Here is a 14520-nt window from a genome sequence, read left to right on the forward strand (position 1 = left end):
TTTCCTCCCTGACTGGTGTTTTGCCATGCATGCCGTATGGCGCCTACTTCTCACTTAGCAATACATTATAATCTTTTGCCAAGTTTGAAATAACCTTCTCTGGCCTGATGTTTATCGATTACATAGTATTCCATTGCATGAATTATACTATATGGTTAAATAATGTCTCTGAACCAAACGTCTAATTTTGGAGTCTTCCAGTTATTTTGCCATTTTATCTATCTACACACACGCATAAATACATAGCTCTGTATTATATGTTATATACATCATATAATGTATATAAAATTTGCATGCAATCTTTAATAACTGTTGTCAAAGATAACATAAATTACCTACTTTACATCTATTTTTCTTTTCTTCCTTGTTAATATGACTCTGATTTTGGTCAGTGTGGAAATATCCCTGGCTAAATTATTTCAACTCCTATATCACGAAGTCTGGTCAATACAGTGTAAGGAGAAAATACTGAGTGGTACTTCTGGGATGGCCCTTTGGAGAGCAGCAGATGTGGCTGGCCTGTTCCTGTGCTCTTGCATGTTTGTGTTGACCATTCCTTTTGTCTCGCCTGGGACATGGATACAATGAGCACAGGCAGGCAGCCATCTTAGGACCAAGACCTGAAAACCATGGGTTAAGGAGGGTGTGGCAGGAAGTGGGAAGGAGACTGGATCCCGACACCATGACAGGGCCATTATCCTAGCCCTGGACTACTTCCTTCTAAGTCTCATGTCATATGAGCAAAAAACAAGGGGATATAGTCAATAATAATTTAATTGTATATTTTCAAATAACTAAAAGAGTATAATTGGATTGTTTGTAACACAAAGGATAATGATTGAGAGGACATATACCCAGTTCTCCATGATATGATGACTGCACACTGCGTGACTGTACCAAAATATCTCACATACCCCATAAATGTATACACCTACTGTGTACTCACAAAAATTGATAAATAAACCTCTATTTGATGGAAGCCGTTTTTCAGTTTCTGTTATTCAACACAGAACATCATACTATCTTTTCTGTTTTTTTTTTTTTTAAAGAGGCAGGGTCTTATTCTGTTGCCCAGGCTGCAGTGCAGTGGTGTGATCACAGATCACTGCAGCCTTGACCTCCTGGGCTCAAGCAATCCTCTTGCCTCAGCCTCTTGAGTAGCTGGGACTAGAGGCATTTACCACCACGCCTAGCTACAACATAATACTATCTAACAGAGTTACCTCAGTATAAGATCTTAGAAATGAAAGTGTGGGTCTCAGGGTATACATATTTTAAAGACTTTATATTGTGATTATTAATTTGCTTCCCAGAAAGTTTGTATAAATATTAGCTCTGACCGGCTGTGTGCAAGAGTACCAGTTAGCCACAACCACTGTTGAGTATTACCCACCCCAACCCAACTCCACAGGGACGAATACACTGCATTGCTGTTTTCATTCCCCTTTCTTTGCTTACTGATAATTTCAAGGAGGGTTTGGTTTCAAGTGTTTTGTTGGCTTATATTTTCCTTCTGTGAATTTGTCATTTATATATTCTATTTGCTGCTTCTTTTAAGTTGAAGAATTGTTAGAAGAAATCATGAAGACAATTGCTGGGTTTGAATTGATGCTTGCAGCTTCTGGAGACATTTGTCTTGAGTGAAAGCATCAGGTGAGAGCTCTGAGAGCAGGTGAGCCAAGGCTGGGGAAGCGTCCTAAGCCAGGGGAGCTCTCCCAGCTGGTGCTGCACGTGCGCTCCAGAGGGAAGGCTCTTGATGCCTCCCGTGCTGCTTGGGGCCCTTCTTCAGGGAAGTGAGGATGTTTCTCCCAGGATTCAGATACCAGAAGCAGGATGACCACACCTCTTTCCTCTCATTCCTGAGGTTCCCAGTGCGTCCGCCTCCTCACATTCCTATGTGTTTGCCTCATCTAGTCCATGACTGGTACCTTTTTTCCTACAGAAAAACTGAAACAACTATGCAGTTTTCCCCATTCCCATCTCAGGTTCGGGGCAGCTTAATTAGAAAGTGTCAGTAAATGTGCTTTGAGATCCTTAGAAGATGAGTTGAGTGGTCATTCCCCAAGACCTCGGCATCGGTATCGCCAAGGCGGCTTTGCAGTAAATGTTAGGGGAAGAATGGAGGGCCATTTGTGTTGTGCAGAGGAAGACAAAATGTCCATCACATAACTGAACACGACTGAGATGGTCCAATTACTTTGTCTCTCTGGCTTTTTTCAATAGTGCAAAGGAATGGTGATTAGGCAAGAATCCTAAACAGGAGAAACCCAAGTCCGTTCTGAGGTGCGTTGTGCATGGAGGCTGCTGGGCAGCACCAGTCATGCGGTAGTGTACAACAGACCTTCAACACCATCAGCATAATGATCACCCACCCGCTCTGTGCCCAGCATGGAACCACGGCCGGAGCAAGCCCGGCTGTGAGCATTCAGTGTCTTACCCAGATGCCAGGAGCCTGTGTGTCTTGGGTCGGTGTCTCTCTCCCCCACTTCCTGGCCAGGCTCTTGCCCTCTCATGTACGAATCACTAAGCACGCTCCATCCTCAGCCTCAGCAGCAGCCTCTGCCCCACTGTCCAGTTCTATTTCTGCAGTACCTCACCATCCTTATTGGAGACAGCCCTCAGAGAACTTACAAGCAGAACACCGCACCAAGTCCTAATGCAGAGAGGGAGGGCCACCTGGAGCGCTTCATTCTTCATTGATCCAACAAGCCCTCCTCCTCCTCCTTCCAATGCAGCTAAGGACCCGCCTCTGAGAAGCCTTCAGAAGGGAAGCCAGCCTAATGCCTGTCCTTCTGGAATCCTTATTTGGTTTCCTCAACTGCACTGTCTTAGAATCTTCACTCATCAACCCCTCACATCACTCCCGGCTCCTGCCAGTGATAATTTCCATCTCCTCCTTCACTCAGGCTCAGTATCTCCCAATCATCATTGATTCTTCCTTCATCCTTGTTCTCAGCTTCTACCTCTGGAATCACAAAAATCCCGACTTTAAGATTTGAAGGGCCCGTGGGGATGGCTAAGGGCTTAGCTCAATACTCTAATGTTATAGATTAGGAAACCCAAGCCTAGGGGAGTGGAAGGGGCTTGTCCACAGGCTCACTGCAGGAGGGGAGAGGAGTTGTCACTAGAAACACTTTTCAGGAAGGAAAGTTTGTCGACTGCTTGTCCAGGGCTCTTTCCATTGTATCATCCTTGCTTCTCAAATGACATGAGGCTGACACCATTATTCTAACTCTGTTCCCAAAATGTCCTCAATCCCAAAATGTCCTGTTGGTTGATACCACTTCTTTTAAAAATCTGACCTTGAGTGTGTCACCTGCAGTAGATGTTGGAACAGGATAGAGTTTAAGCCGTCATTGCGGGTCATCTTCCATTTGCTCACAATTTATATCCCACTCTGTTGCCCCAGTCACATGAGTACATTCATCCCACCATCTTCCCCACATCACTTTCCTCGGATCTGGGATGCTGCCCGGCTCTCCTGTGCACCCTGATCTCCCCTGTCCCCAAGCACTCACCCAAAACTTTGCTCCGAACGCTTCACAAGAAGCAACCTCCGCAGGGCATGGTGGCTCACGCCTGTAATCCCAGCACTTTGGGAGGCCAAGGTGGGTGGGTCAGGAGTTCAAGACCAGCCTGACCAACATAGTGAAACCTCGTCTCTACTAAAAATACAAAATTAGCCGGGTGTGGTGGTGCATGCCTGTAATCCCAGCTAATTGGGAGGCTGAAGCAGGAGAATCGCTTGAACCTGTGAGGTGGAGGTTGCAGTGAGTGGAGATCATGCCATTGCACTCCAGTGTGGGCAACAAGAGCAAAACTCCATCTCAGAAAAAAATAATAATAATAAAGAAGCAACCTCTTCTCCCTTTACTGTCCTTTATTTTCATTTTTTATTTTTATGGGTGCATAGTAAGGGTATACATTTATGGGGTACATGGGATGTTTGGATACAGGCATTCAATGGTAATAATCACATCCAGGTATATGAGGTATCCATCCCCTCATGCATTTATCATTTCTTTGTGTTACCAACATTCCAGTTAGGCTCTTTTAGTTATTTCAAAATGTACAATAAATTATCATTGACTGTAGTCACCTTGCTATGCTTTCAGACGCTAGATCTCATTCATTCTAACTCTATTTTTGTGCTCATTAACCATCTCTACTCTCCACTCACCCTCCCTACAACCACCCTCCCAGCCTCTGGTAGCCATCCCTGTACCCTCCATCTCTATGAGTTCAATTGTTCTAATGTCTAGCTTTTACAAATGAGTGAGAACATGTGATGTGTGTCTTTCTGTGCCTGGTTTATTTCACTTAACATGATGTCTTCTATTTCCTTCCCATGTTGTCACCAATGACAGGCTCTTGTTCTTTTTTATGGCTAAATAGTTCTCCATTGTGTATATGTACCACATTTTCTTTATCCATTTGTCTGCTGGTGGACACTAAAGTTGCTTCCAAGTCTTCGTTATTGCGAATAGTGCTGCAATAAACAAGGAAGTGCAGATCTCTCTTCCATATGCTGATTTCCTTTCTTTTGGGTATATACCCCAGCAGTGAGATTGCTGGATCTAAGGGTAGCTCTGTTTTTAGTTTTTTGAGGTGTCTCCATATTGTTCTCCAAAGTGGTTGTATTAATATATGTCCCCACCAACCATGTACAAGGGTCCCTTTAGTGTTCCAAAGACATCTCCCTGCAACAAGGTCCCTGTGTACCTTGCAACACAGACCTTTGTGGTCTTCCACCTATCTTATCTGTAACTGGATTATATGCTCTTGGAAGGCAAGGACAGATGTGTTTCCCCTTACACTACCTTATGAAAAGAAGACATGCAGTAAACATCCCTCAGCGGTGGCATTGGTCTTAACACAATCCTAGATGCTATGCCTTTCTCCTCCCTTACAGTTTTCTAGAATGCTTTGAACACAGTGGACAGACAGCTTGTTCTCTGAGCACTTTATTTTGGTATTCTTCTTGAAACGTATTTTCATTTCTGTCTTTAGAAAATTAAATAAGTGTGATAGCCATGGAATGATCAAGCGACTCAGACCCATTAACCAATGATCCAGGTGATGCTACTGGCGACAGCATTGACTACTTCCTGGGGAACATGTCCTGAGTGGGGGATGTCTCCTCAGCTGACAGCTGTGGAGCTGACACACACCCTGACGCCGATGTCTGGCGATTCATATTCCTTCTGCTTTCCCAGGACAGTTTTCTTTTCTCACTGCCACTTTACTCTCCCACGAGAACCCAGGCAGAGATGGGAAAAACATGTCCTTTCCTGGTGACTTTATTTGTTGAAAAATTAAAGCGCAATTTTCTTTACAAAGAAGTTGTAGGATGAGAGGGGCAGATTCCTTTCCTCTTGTTCTTTCTGCTCATGCAGTTCTGTGCAGAGGGTCCCCCCCACACCCCCAGCGCTCCTACTCAAGGAGCTGCAATCCACTTAACACACAATTCCTTGAGAGTCTGGATGTTTCCAGACTGGTGCATGGTACCAGGAAATAAATATGAATGAATAAACGATGTCTGCCCTCCAGAGTGCACTGTAATAGAAGCAGTGAGATGTACACGTTATTTTACTGTCCTGAAATAAATGCCGTAAGAATAAGGCCAAGTCCCAGCCTCATCACACATGAGGAAACAGCAGAATCACTCAGGGGAACTTAGGAAATGCTTCTTGGAGGAGATGATGGCCAGCCCGGTTTTTAAGGATGAGTGGGGGTCACCCATTGAATGTAAAGGGGAGACAAACGAGGTGCTTTTGTAAAGACAGAGTTATGAGAAGGGAATGGGGAGCAGTGGGTGTATCTAGAGCACCAGTGCTGATCACAGAGATGGGACTCTGCAGAGACCAGAGGGAAGGGTGCCTGGACCTAACCTGCGGGCAAGGAAGAGCCCTGGGATGTTCTAAGTGGAAGTAAGGAGATGATATTTGCATTATTTAAAACACCCATGGCCACAGGATGGAGGATAGATTTAGGGAGGTGAGACTGTGGCCAGGAGACCTTGTGTGGCCTGAGCAAAGAGAAAAGAGGGCCTGGCCATGGCCAAAGCCCCAGAAACACAGAAATATTGACAGACGGTCCCCAACTTATGATGGCTTGATGTTTTCTTAATTGTACTATGGTGCCACAGTGACAGGCAGTCACTAGAAACCACATTTCCAGTGCCCAGACAGCTACACTATGTTTCACTTTTGATACAGTATTCAATAAATCATATGATCTATCCAACATGTTATTATAAAATGGATTTTGTGTTAGATGATTTTGCCCAACTGTAGGCTAATGGAAGTGTCTAGGCATGTCTAAGTTAGGTTAGGCTAAGCTGCAATATTCAGTAGGCTAGGTGTGTTCAATGCATTATTGATGCAGTATTTTCAGCTTATGATGGGTTTATCAGGATGTAATTCTACTGCAAGTTGAGGAGCCACTGTATAATTGGAGCTAAGTAGTGTTACAGGACTATATATCAATCTGATATGTTCTTCTGGGTTGATGGACTACTGGGATGTTTTGTAAACATTTGTAGCAGGGAATTGATTGAGAAATTAATTTACATTTGTGTTTCCCTGTTACAGGTATAACTTTAAGGTGTTTTTCTCTCCCCTGGCCCAAGAATCCTTTGTGTTCTGAGTGTGGGCTCCCTGGTTGGAGGAGTTTCAATAATGACTTTTCATTTCTAGGTCAGTTGGGAAGTAACCAAGAGAACCTTCACTCTTCGTGGGTCCTGGGAGGATGTGTTGCTTGAACAAAGTGGGATCCAAGTGGTCTTGGCCACAGTCATTGAGGATGGAGGAAAGGAGTGGAGGTAAAAGTTTCTGGAGAGCTTGAGGTGCATTCCTCTAATGCCAGCAGCCTGGAAGGGGAGAGGCCCTCTGATGAGCCGTTCTGCAGAGCATGTTAGTGCAAATAGATGCGGGGATGGGAGGAGCCCCAAAAACAATGGCCTCAGGAATCCCTAGGAGAAATCCACCCCATGCCTGTGTTTGATGCTCAAGAAGTGAAGCCTCCTGCTTGGTGGGGGACAGTGACTCTGTCCTTGGTCATGTGGGCTTGAGCAAGAAGCAACTCCGTGGCAACCAAGAGGAGCTAAGAGATGCCCCTCTCCTTGTTGCCAGGGCATCCCCGTGTTCAACTGCACAACCTAGAGGAAGATGGCTCCCAACCATAACCAGCATGGGCAACTTTGGAACCCAAACCTGTAGCTTCTCTCTTTTATTTATTCTTTTCTCCAACACATCAGTGGCCCTCCAGCTGTTGAGTGGGGAGAGTGACAGGTTCAATGAGAAGGACATTCAGATGCATCCACAGAGGACTTTTCACCAGTACTCATGTCTCCTTTCTGGATCCTCAGCCCTCTGTTCTTTTCAAAGTCATGAAGCTTTCATTGTGTCCTATGCTTTGGAAACTGCTGAGGATCAGGACTCTTTGCCTTCTCTAGAGATCTCACCATCAGCTTTCTTATTCCTGGCTCTTTCCAGTGTCCTTTAGAGAATGTCAACCCTGGGGACTAGAAAGGGAAGGCAATGTTGTTTGGGAGCTAAGCCAAGGCTGCAAATTCTGTGTGAAGCCTGTCCCTGCCATGACTGGTGCACGACCTGAGGTGAGTTACATAATCCTGGTCACCTCAATTTCTTCATGTATGAAATGGTTAAGTTCTTCCTTCATAGGCTTGTTGTCAGGAAAAATGAGATACTGCATGAAAAGCTCTTATTCCAATGTCTGACCACCAGTGTAGAAGATGCAGGTAAGCAGTCATCAGTCCTGAGGCGGGCTGCCCTGTGTGGTGGAGATGCCCCATGCACCAGGATCCCTGAGGCATTGCCCCTCCCCACCATGGAATTATTGCATCCACCCCTGTGCATTATATCGTCATAGAACAGCCTTAGTGCCCTACCCAGGGAAACTGAGTGAGAAAGGACAAGGCATAGCCCCACAATGTTTTCAGTTCCTGGATCCCAGGTCTGTGCAAAAACAGAATCTAGAACCAAGACTCTAAGACTCTGGGAAACAGGTCTGAGATCTCCGAAGCCAGGAAGGTGCCTGAGTGTCATTTCCAGAATCTGTCAGAAACAGCTCCGAGCTCTCAGGGGCACCCGTCGCTGAGATCACTGAGGCAGGGGGCTGCTTCCTGGCATTGTTGAGTTTCATTCTGTTCCTCAGAAGAACAGTGTGTTTTGCTTGGAGTTTGTTTCCATTTTTGCAGGCCAGGAACTCTGCCACAGATTTTCTGAGAAGCTAAGTGAATGCTCCTTCTGTCAATCTGAAATTGGTGGGTGAGTTTTTTTTTTTTTTTTTTTTTTTTTTTTTGCCCCTTTGCTCCTTTTTTTCTTTATTAAAGCTGACAAATGGGGAAGAAAATGAAAAAGAAAAGAACAAATCCAGTGTCACAAGATGCTGAGAAAATAGCTTCTATTTATAGCCTGGTACATTTCAGAGATGTAAACACCTCTGCTAATCGCTGCCCCTGCAGAAGGCCCTGGGGATTACTGCACGGCCCTGGAGAGCTGGCAGCCACGTACGGCAGTGCAGTGAGGGCTAACAGGGCTAATTGTGCTCCCAGTTGTTTTCAGAAACAGTGGGAAAAAAGCTCTGTGTCCTGCCCCCCACCCGCGGAACAGCAGAGGTCCCACACGGGCCTCCGTCCCCTCTCAGAGGAAGCAGAATCTTGGCCCACAGGATAAATTTTAGTGGCGTGGGCACAGGGATGGCCTGGCCAAAGCACTTCCAACTGGACAAATCTAGCAACAAGATAACAGCAGGAAGTCTTGCTTTGAGTGGCAGCGTGACCACATGTTAACTGTGTAATGTGGGGCAGTTCCTTTAGCAAACATGAGGCTCAGTTTGCTTATCCATAAACTGGAACAATTACAGCTTCTGCAGAGGATAGGATGAGATATCAGTGAAAATAGAGTAAGTGAAGAACTGTCCAGACTTCTCAGTGTATCAGCCACAATTTCTGTCATCCAATCCAAAGTTTCTAGACATGGAAAGAAACAGTAGACTCTGACTTATGATCAAGCAAAAAAGCATTCTCTACAAAGAGAGCCCTGAGATGATTCGGATGCTGAATTTAGGAAGACAAGACTTCAAAACAACTATTATAAGTATGTTCAAAAATTTACAGGAAAATATGGTTATCATAAGTGAACAATTGAAGAATCTCACCAAGGAAATGGAAACAATAAAATAAGAACCAAGTGCAAATTCTAGAACTGAAAGTGCAATATTGGAACTGAAAAATTCACCGATGGGCCAATCAACAGACCAGATACTACAGAAACAAGATAAGTAATCTTGAAAAAAAAAATGGAAATTATCCATGCTGGAAAAAAGTAAAATGTATGTATTTTAAACAAACAGAGTCTTTGTGGCTACTCGAACAATATCATACAGCCTAACATACATGAAATTTGAGTCTGAAAAGAAAAAAAGAGGAAACAGAACAGAATTTTTTTAATAGCAGCCAAAATTTTTTAAATTTTGGTAAAAAGCCAACCTACAGATCGAAGAAACTCATTAAACCCAAACAATATAAAATTTAAAAATCGCACTTGGGAACATAATGGTGATCATGCTGCAAATAAAATGACAATCTTAAAATCAGCCTGAGAGAAGAGATACATTCGCTCAAGGAGACAGTGCTATGACTGATGGCAGAGGCTGGACCAGGGCTCACGATGGAAGGCACTGGAAGAAGAAAAGTGTCAACCCAGAATTTGATGTCCAGTGAGAATATCTTTCAAAAGTAAGACATCTGCAGATAGGCAAAACATGAGAGAATTCATCACCATCAGACTTTCTCAAAGAAAACAGTTCCAGCTGAAGCAAGGTTGGACCAGATGGAAACTGGGAGGTTCAGAGAGGAATGAAGAGTCCCAGAAATGCATCTGCAGCTTTTCATCTTAGGAGACTGAAATGGATCTAATGAGCCCAGCACTTCCTTGATTTCCTCGAATAAGTTTTCCACAAAAGGCAAAGACAAGTGAGACTCAGCCCCATTTCTAAGGCAAGCCCAGTGGAGTCACTGCCTTTAAATGCTATCCACAAGGTATGGTCAGCTTCATTTGTACAATGCCCAGGGCATCCAATGAAGAGGAGAAACCTTCATCTCTGCTTCACAGGCTGAACCGACATTCTGTGGACATTGATTCCACCTGGCCTCCACTGGAAAACAAATGTACCCTACATCCTTACCCAGAAAAAAGTCCTCTGCATGCTTCTCCTGTGCAAGAGGGGTTGTTCGGGATTACCCAGGAATGGGGTGTCCTGGCATGACAGAAGAATTGGATGCAGCAATTGCAGATTCAGAAAGAATACTGCTTAAACAATAAAGAAAAGTCATCAATTGTACATTTATATCAATGGCTTAAAATTGACCATTGAAAATCTTGCTTAATCAAAACAGACCCTGCAATAGTCAGTACCCACACCGGATTTCATGTCGAAGAAGGTCGTTGTCACGGTAAGCATGGATCTGTTTGCATTAGGGAGAAAGCTCCTCTTAAAAAATAAGAACAATGATGTAATAGAGAAAAACAAAACTTGATTGAACCTTTCCATAATGTATGCATAAAGCAAAACATCATATTGTACTCCATAAATATAGTTATTGTCAATTTAAAAAATTATTAAAACACCTGACATACACTCTGTGATGGATATAGGATGTTGATTAAGCCTAATGGACTTAAGAGTCCTTTCCATGTCAAGCTTCTTGTGACATATGCTAGGATTTGTCCTCCTAGACAAAAACCAATAAAAAACAAAAAATAAAAAATACCTCCTCACCCAAGATACAGAAGTTTTTAGGTAAAACTCTACAGGGTGGTGGCAGCCATCTAATGTCCACTGCTGGGCTTCCCCAGAGGAAGCAGCACAGTGCTCTTGGTGAGGACAATGATGCAGAGAGTGAGGTGGGGTCTGCTGGCTGGGGAGGCCCACCCTCCAGGGCTGCACCCCCAGCCCTGCCGAGCAGGCTTCTGACTCAGGCTCGGTCTTTGCAGGCACACACTACCACTAAATTCACTCACTGATAAAAATATTCATTTTGTGCCCATTATATACCAGAAGAGCTTATAGCTCCAGGGACAGAGCAGTGAGCAGGACATGGTCCCCGAGACATTGGGGAGACAGCAAATAGAGGTACAGATGAGTTCCCCCAAATCTACCACATGCTGTTCCCTGCAGACAGCCGCCCAGACACAGTATTGTGTGTTATACCTGGAGGGGCCATAACCCAGTTGGGCCTGGAAAAGTTCTGCAGATAAAGCAGCACCTCCAGGGAGACTTGCAGGACATTTAGGAAGAAATGAAGTGGCAAAAGACACTGTCATTTCCATCTATTTACTCCATGGCCAAAATCAAGGTATAGAGAAAGGTCATCATTAAATCCTACATATTTTCTGCTATTGCTTCCAACTGGTGAAAGAAGTTCATGTATTGTACTTTGGGGATGTACTAAGCGTAAATATCTGGGCAGCTTTTAATGCTGAGGCCTAATGCAATAACGAGTGAGTCATAACAGTTTACAAATACAGAGCTAAGACCACAATTTCCCAAATGTCCTTATTCATACGGAAAAATAAATATTTGTTTACTTTTTTGGGGTTCAAGAATTAGAGACATGACTTGAGAATAGAGAAATCTGGTGACAAATTTTTTTTTCTGGCACTTGATGTGATCATCAGTGGCATGAACATATTAATATGTAAAGTGTCATTGTATAGAATCACGCTTTCATTCTCATGATGTGATTACCAACTGGGTTCCAATCATTAGGTCTTGGAGAGTTGACTCAAGAACAATTGAGCAACCTCCAAATCCTGCTTCATTTCTCAGCTGCCGCCTAAAGGTTCACATTCTGTTTCTCCAGTGTGTTGTAGGGACTTGAATCTATTGACATGCAAAATCTCCAACAGAGACTAATGCTTTAAAACTCCACATCTTATAGGCAATGGGGTCTGAGAGTGCATATTCTCAATGTGCTCTTTGTGGAGAGGAGAGAGGGGAGAGGATGAGGGCCCAGAAAGGAGTAAGCAGGGTACAGACAGGTGGGTTGGGGATTCGGAAAGTGGATTTTATTCTCTTAAAGTGTGTCCTTGCATCAGCCAGGATTGGGGCACTGAGATGGCAGCCTGGACTTGGATAACACCACATACACGCTTACTCCTTCACTGCCCGTAGTTTGGGCTTCACATCAAACCTCACTCTCCTCACTGCACAGACAGCCTTTGACTCATGATGGTTTGATTTACAATTTTTCAACTTCACAATGGCACGAAACCATCGCAACTTTGACATAATGCACAGTATTCAATACGTCACATGAGATAGTCAAGCAAAGCAGGCTTTGTGTGAGATGATTTTGCCCAACTGTAGGCTATTGTAAGTGTTCTGAGCATGTTTAAAGTAAGCTAGATTATGAGATGGTGGTTAGATTAGATGTATTAAATGCATTTTTGACTCACAGTGTTTTCCACTTATGATGGGTTTATCAGATTTTAACCTCACTGTAAGTCAAGGGGTATCTGTATTCTAAATGCAACATGGAAATAGCAAGAAGATGACAGTTAAGTTTACAAAAAAGAATTGAATGTCCCCAGTCTCTCACACTTTTAAGTATTACAAAGTACTAAAGTTCTCAATAAAGAAAGCCATTAATATCCAAATATTCATGACAAGTAACATTAGTGTGGCGTGATTTGGCCCCTGTCCCAATGAATACACAAAGTATATACGTAAGCAATTCATAAGCAAGAAAAACACAAATGTCATTAACAAACATTTAAGAAAATACCTGACCTCATTTCACATTAAAGCAACGAGGTATGTATCAAATTTTAGCTATAACGTCAGAAAAGTTGAGACAAAGAGGAGAGAGAGCTTGCCTACTGTTGGAAACCCCTGCACAGTCTGTATGTCTGAAGACTGCACCCTTTTTGGAAAGAAATATGGCAATGCATATTAAAAGCCTGAAAAACAGTCATACATTTTTATCCATTAATTCTACTCCTGGGAATCTATCCTAAATAAATAACCTAAAATTCAGAAAAGGCATTAGGCAAAAATATTTCCATTACAGCATGGTTTATCATAATGAAAACTTCGAAACAACTTTCCTACCCAACATCAAAGAGATGGTTAATCCAAATAGTACAATCCAGGGGTGATATTCAAAATAATTCCTAGCTGTATTTCATAAAGCATGGCATGTCCAGTTGGAACACATGCCAGCCCATCAGCATGGACACCAGCCTGACAGCCACACAGATGTGCACTGTGAGAGTACCAGACTTGTGCAACCACACTTTGAATGTGCTTCAGAAAGCCGTGGAAACGTTTATGAGGGTTTCCTAGAAAACGGGGAAACACTTATTATAAGTAAATATATATTTGAAAAGAGAAAAAGACTGATGAAACTATAATAAAGTGTTAACCATGGTCATCTCTGAATCTTGGGATAATAGATTTTTTCTTCTTTATGGTTGATTTCATGTTTATAATCAGAAAAAATTTGAAATTGTTTCAGCAGCATAGTTCTAAATGTTCAAATGTCTTCACTTATCTGCCCCAAGACTTCCATGGGATAGGGATACCATCTTTCAGCCTAACAGGAGTGCATGTTAATTGATTTTTCATGCCCATCCGTAGAACAGTCTGGAAAACATTATCCACAGTTAAAGTAATTAAGAGAGCGATTGCACTTTTGTGCTTTATCAGATAATATTTCGCCCACTGTTTTGGTAACATCTAGAGATTTTAAAATTATATTTAGGAGGTAAATCTAACTTTCATAAATTAAAATTTTTATGGAAATAAACATGGATTCACATGCAGTTGTAACAAATAATAGGGACAGAGCCCATGTACTTTTTATTCATTTTACCCCAATGTTAGCTTCTTTCAAAACCATAGTACAATATTACAACAAGGATGCTAATATTGAGACAATCCACCTGTCTTATGCAGATTTCCCCAGGTTTACTTGTACTCTGTGTGTGTGTGTGTATGCGTATTAATTCTATACAGCTTCATCACATCTATATTTGTACACCCATGACCATAGTCAAGACACAGAGCTGCTCCACACCACAGGGATCCCCTGGGCTGACTTGCTTCTGGCTCCCAAATTGCAAGCCATGTAACCTATCATTAGCCAACTTGTGTACTCACCTCTGCAGTGCATAATTCACATTATGCATTCTCCTATTACAGTCAGAGCTTGTGAAATCTCTGATATCTAACATCCTAAAACACGGAAAGTATTATTAAAGAAAAAAATCAGTGGAAGTACAGGGATGTAACTTTTTCTCCATGGCTGTAACCACACACAGTGGAAAAGATGCTGAATCTACAAGGATGTTCCTGCATCTACCAGGTGGTTAGACTTGAAAAGGGTGCTTTGGTCAGGATACTCTCCTTATCAAAGAAACTCAAGGGGTTTTTATTTTAGTGTCCATTTTAACAAGCCTAGTTTTACAAAATTATTTAAGTAGAGTAAAT

General features: G+C 42.8%; 1 long non-coding RNA gene across 2 annotated transcripts in view, besides 2 other annotated features; it reads right to left on the reverse strand.

Annotated features, from left to right (window-relative positions):
* The window catches only part of LINC03082 (long intergenic non-protein coding RNA 3082), a 145761-nt gene that overhangs the window by 32389 nt on the left and 98852 nt on the right, over positions 1–14520 (reverse strand). The gene's annotated exons all lie outside the window — the stretch shown is intronic.
* Positions 1400–2599: an enhancer, noted in NCBI's record as "CDK7 strongly-dependent group 2 enhancer chr13:110669511-110670710 (GRCh37/hg19 assembly coordinates)". NCBI's record gives its function as "activates an origin of replication core promoter dependent on BRD2, BRD4, P300/CBP, MED14 and CDK7 cofactors, with strong dependence on CDK7, by STARR-seq in HCT116 cells {active_cell/tissue: HCT116}" and the evidence as "EXISTENCE:reporter gene assay evidence [ECO:0000049][PMID:35650434]".
* Positions 8331–8500: an enhancer, noted in NCBI's record as "experimental_32415 CRE fragment used in MPRA reporter constructs". NCBI's record gives its function as "activates a minimal promoter by MPRAs in K562 erythroleukemia cells, with activity observed for both the introgressed and non-introgressed 13:110676527 variant alleles {active_cell/tissue: K562}" and the evidence as "EXISTENCE:reporter gene assay evidence [ECO:0000049][PMID:34662402]".

Source organism: Homo sapiens, chromosome 13 (assembly GCF_000001405.40).
Source record: "Homo sapiens chromosome 13, GRCh38.p14 Primary Assembly".
Taxonomy (NCBI): Eukaryota; Metazoa; Chordata; class Mammalia; order Primates; family Hominidae; genus Homo; species Homo sapiens.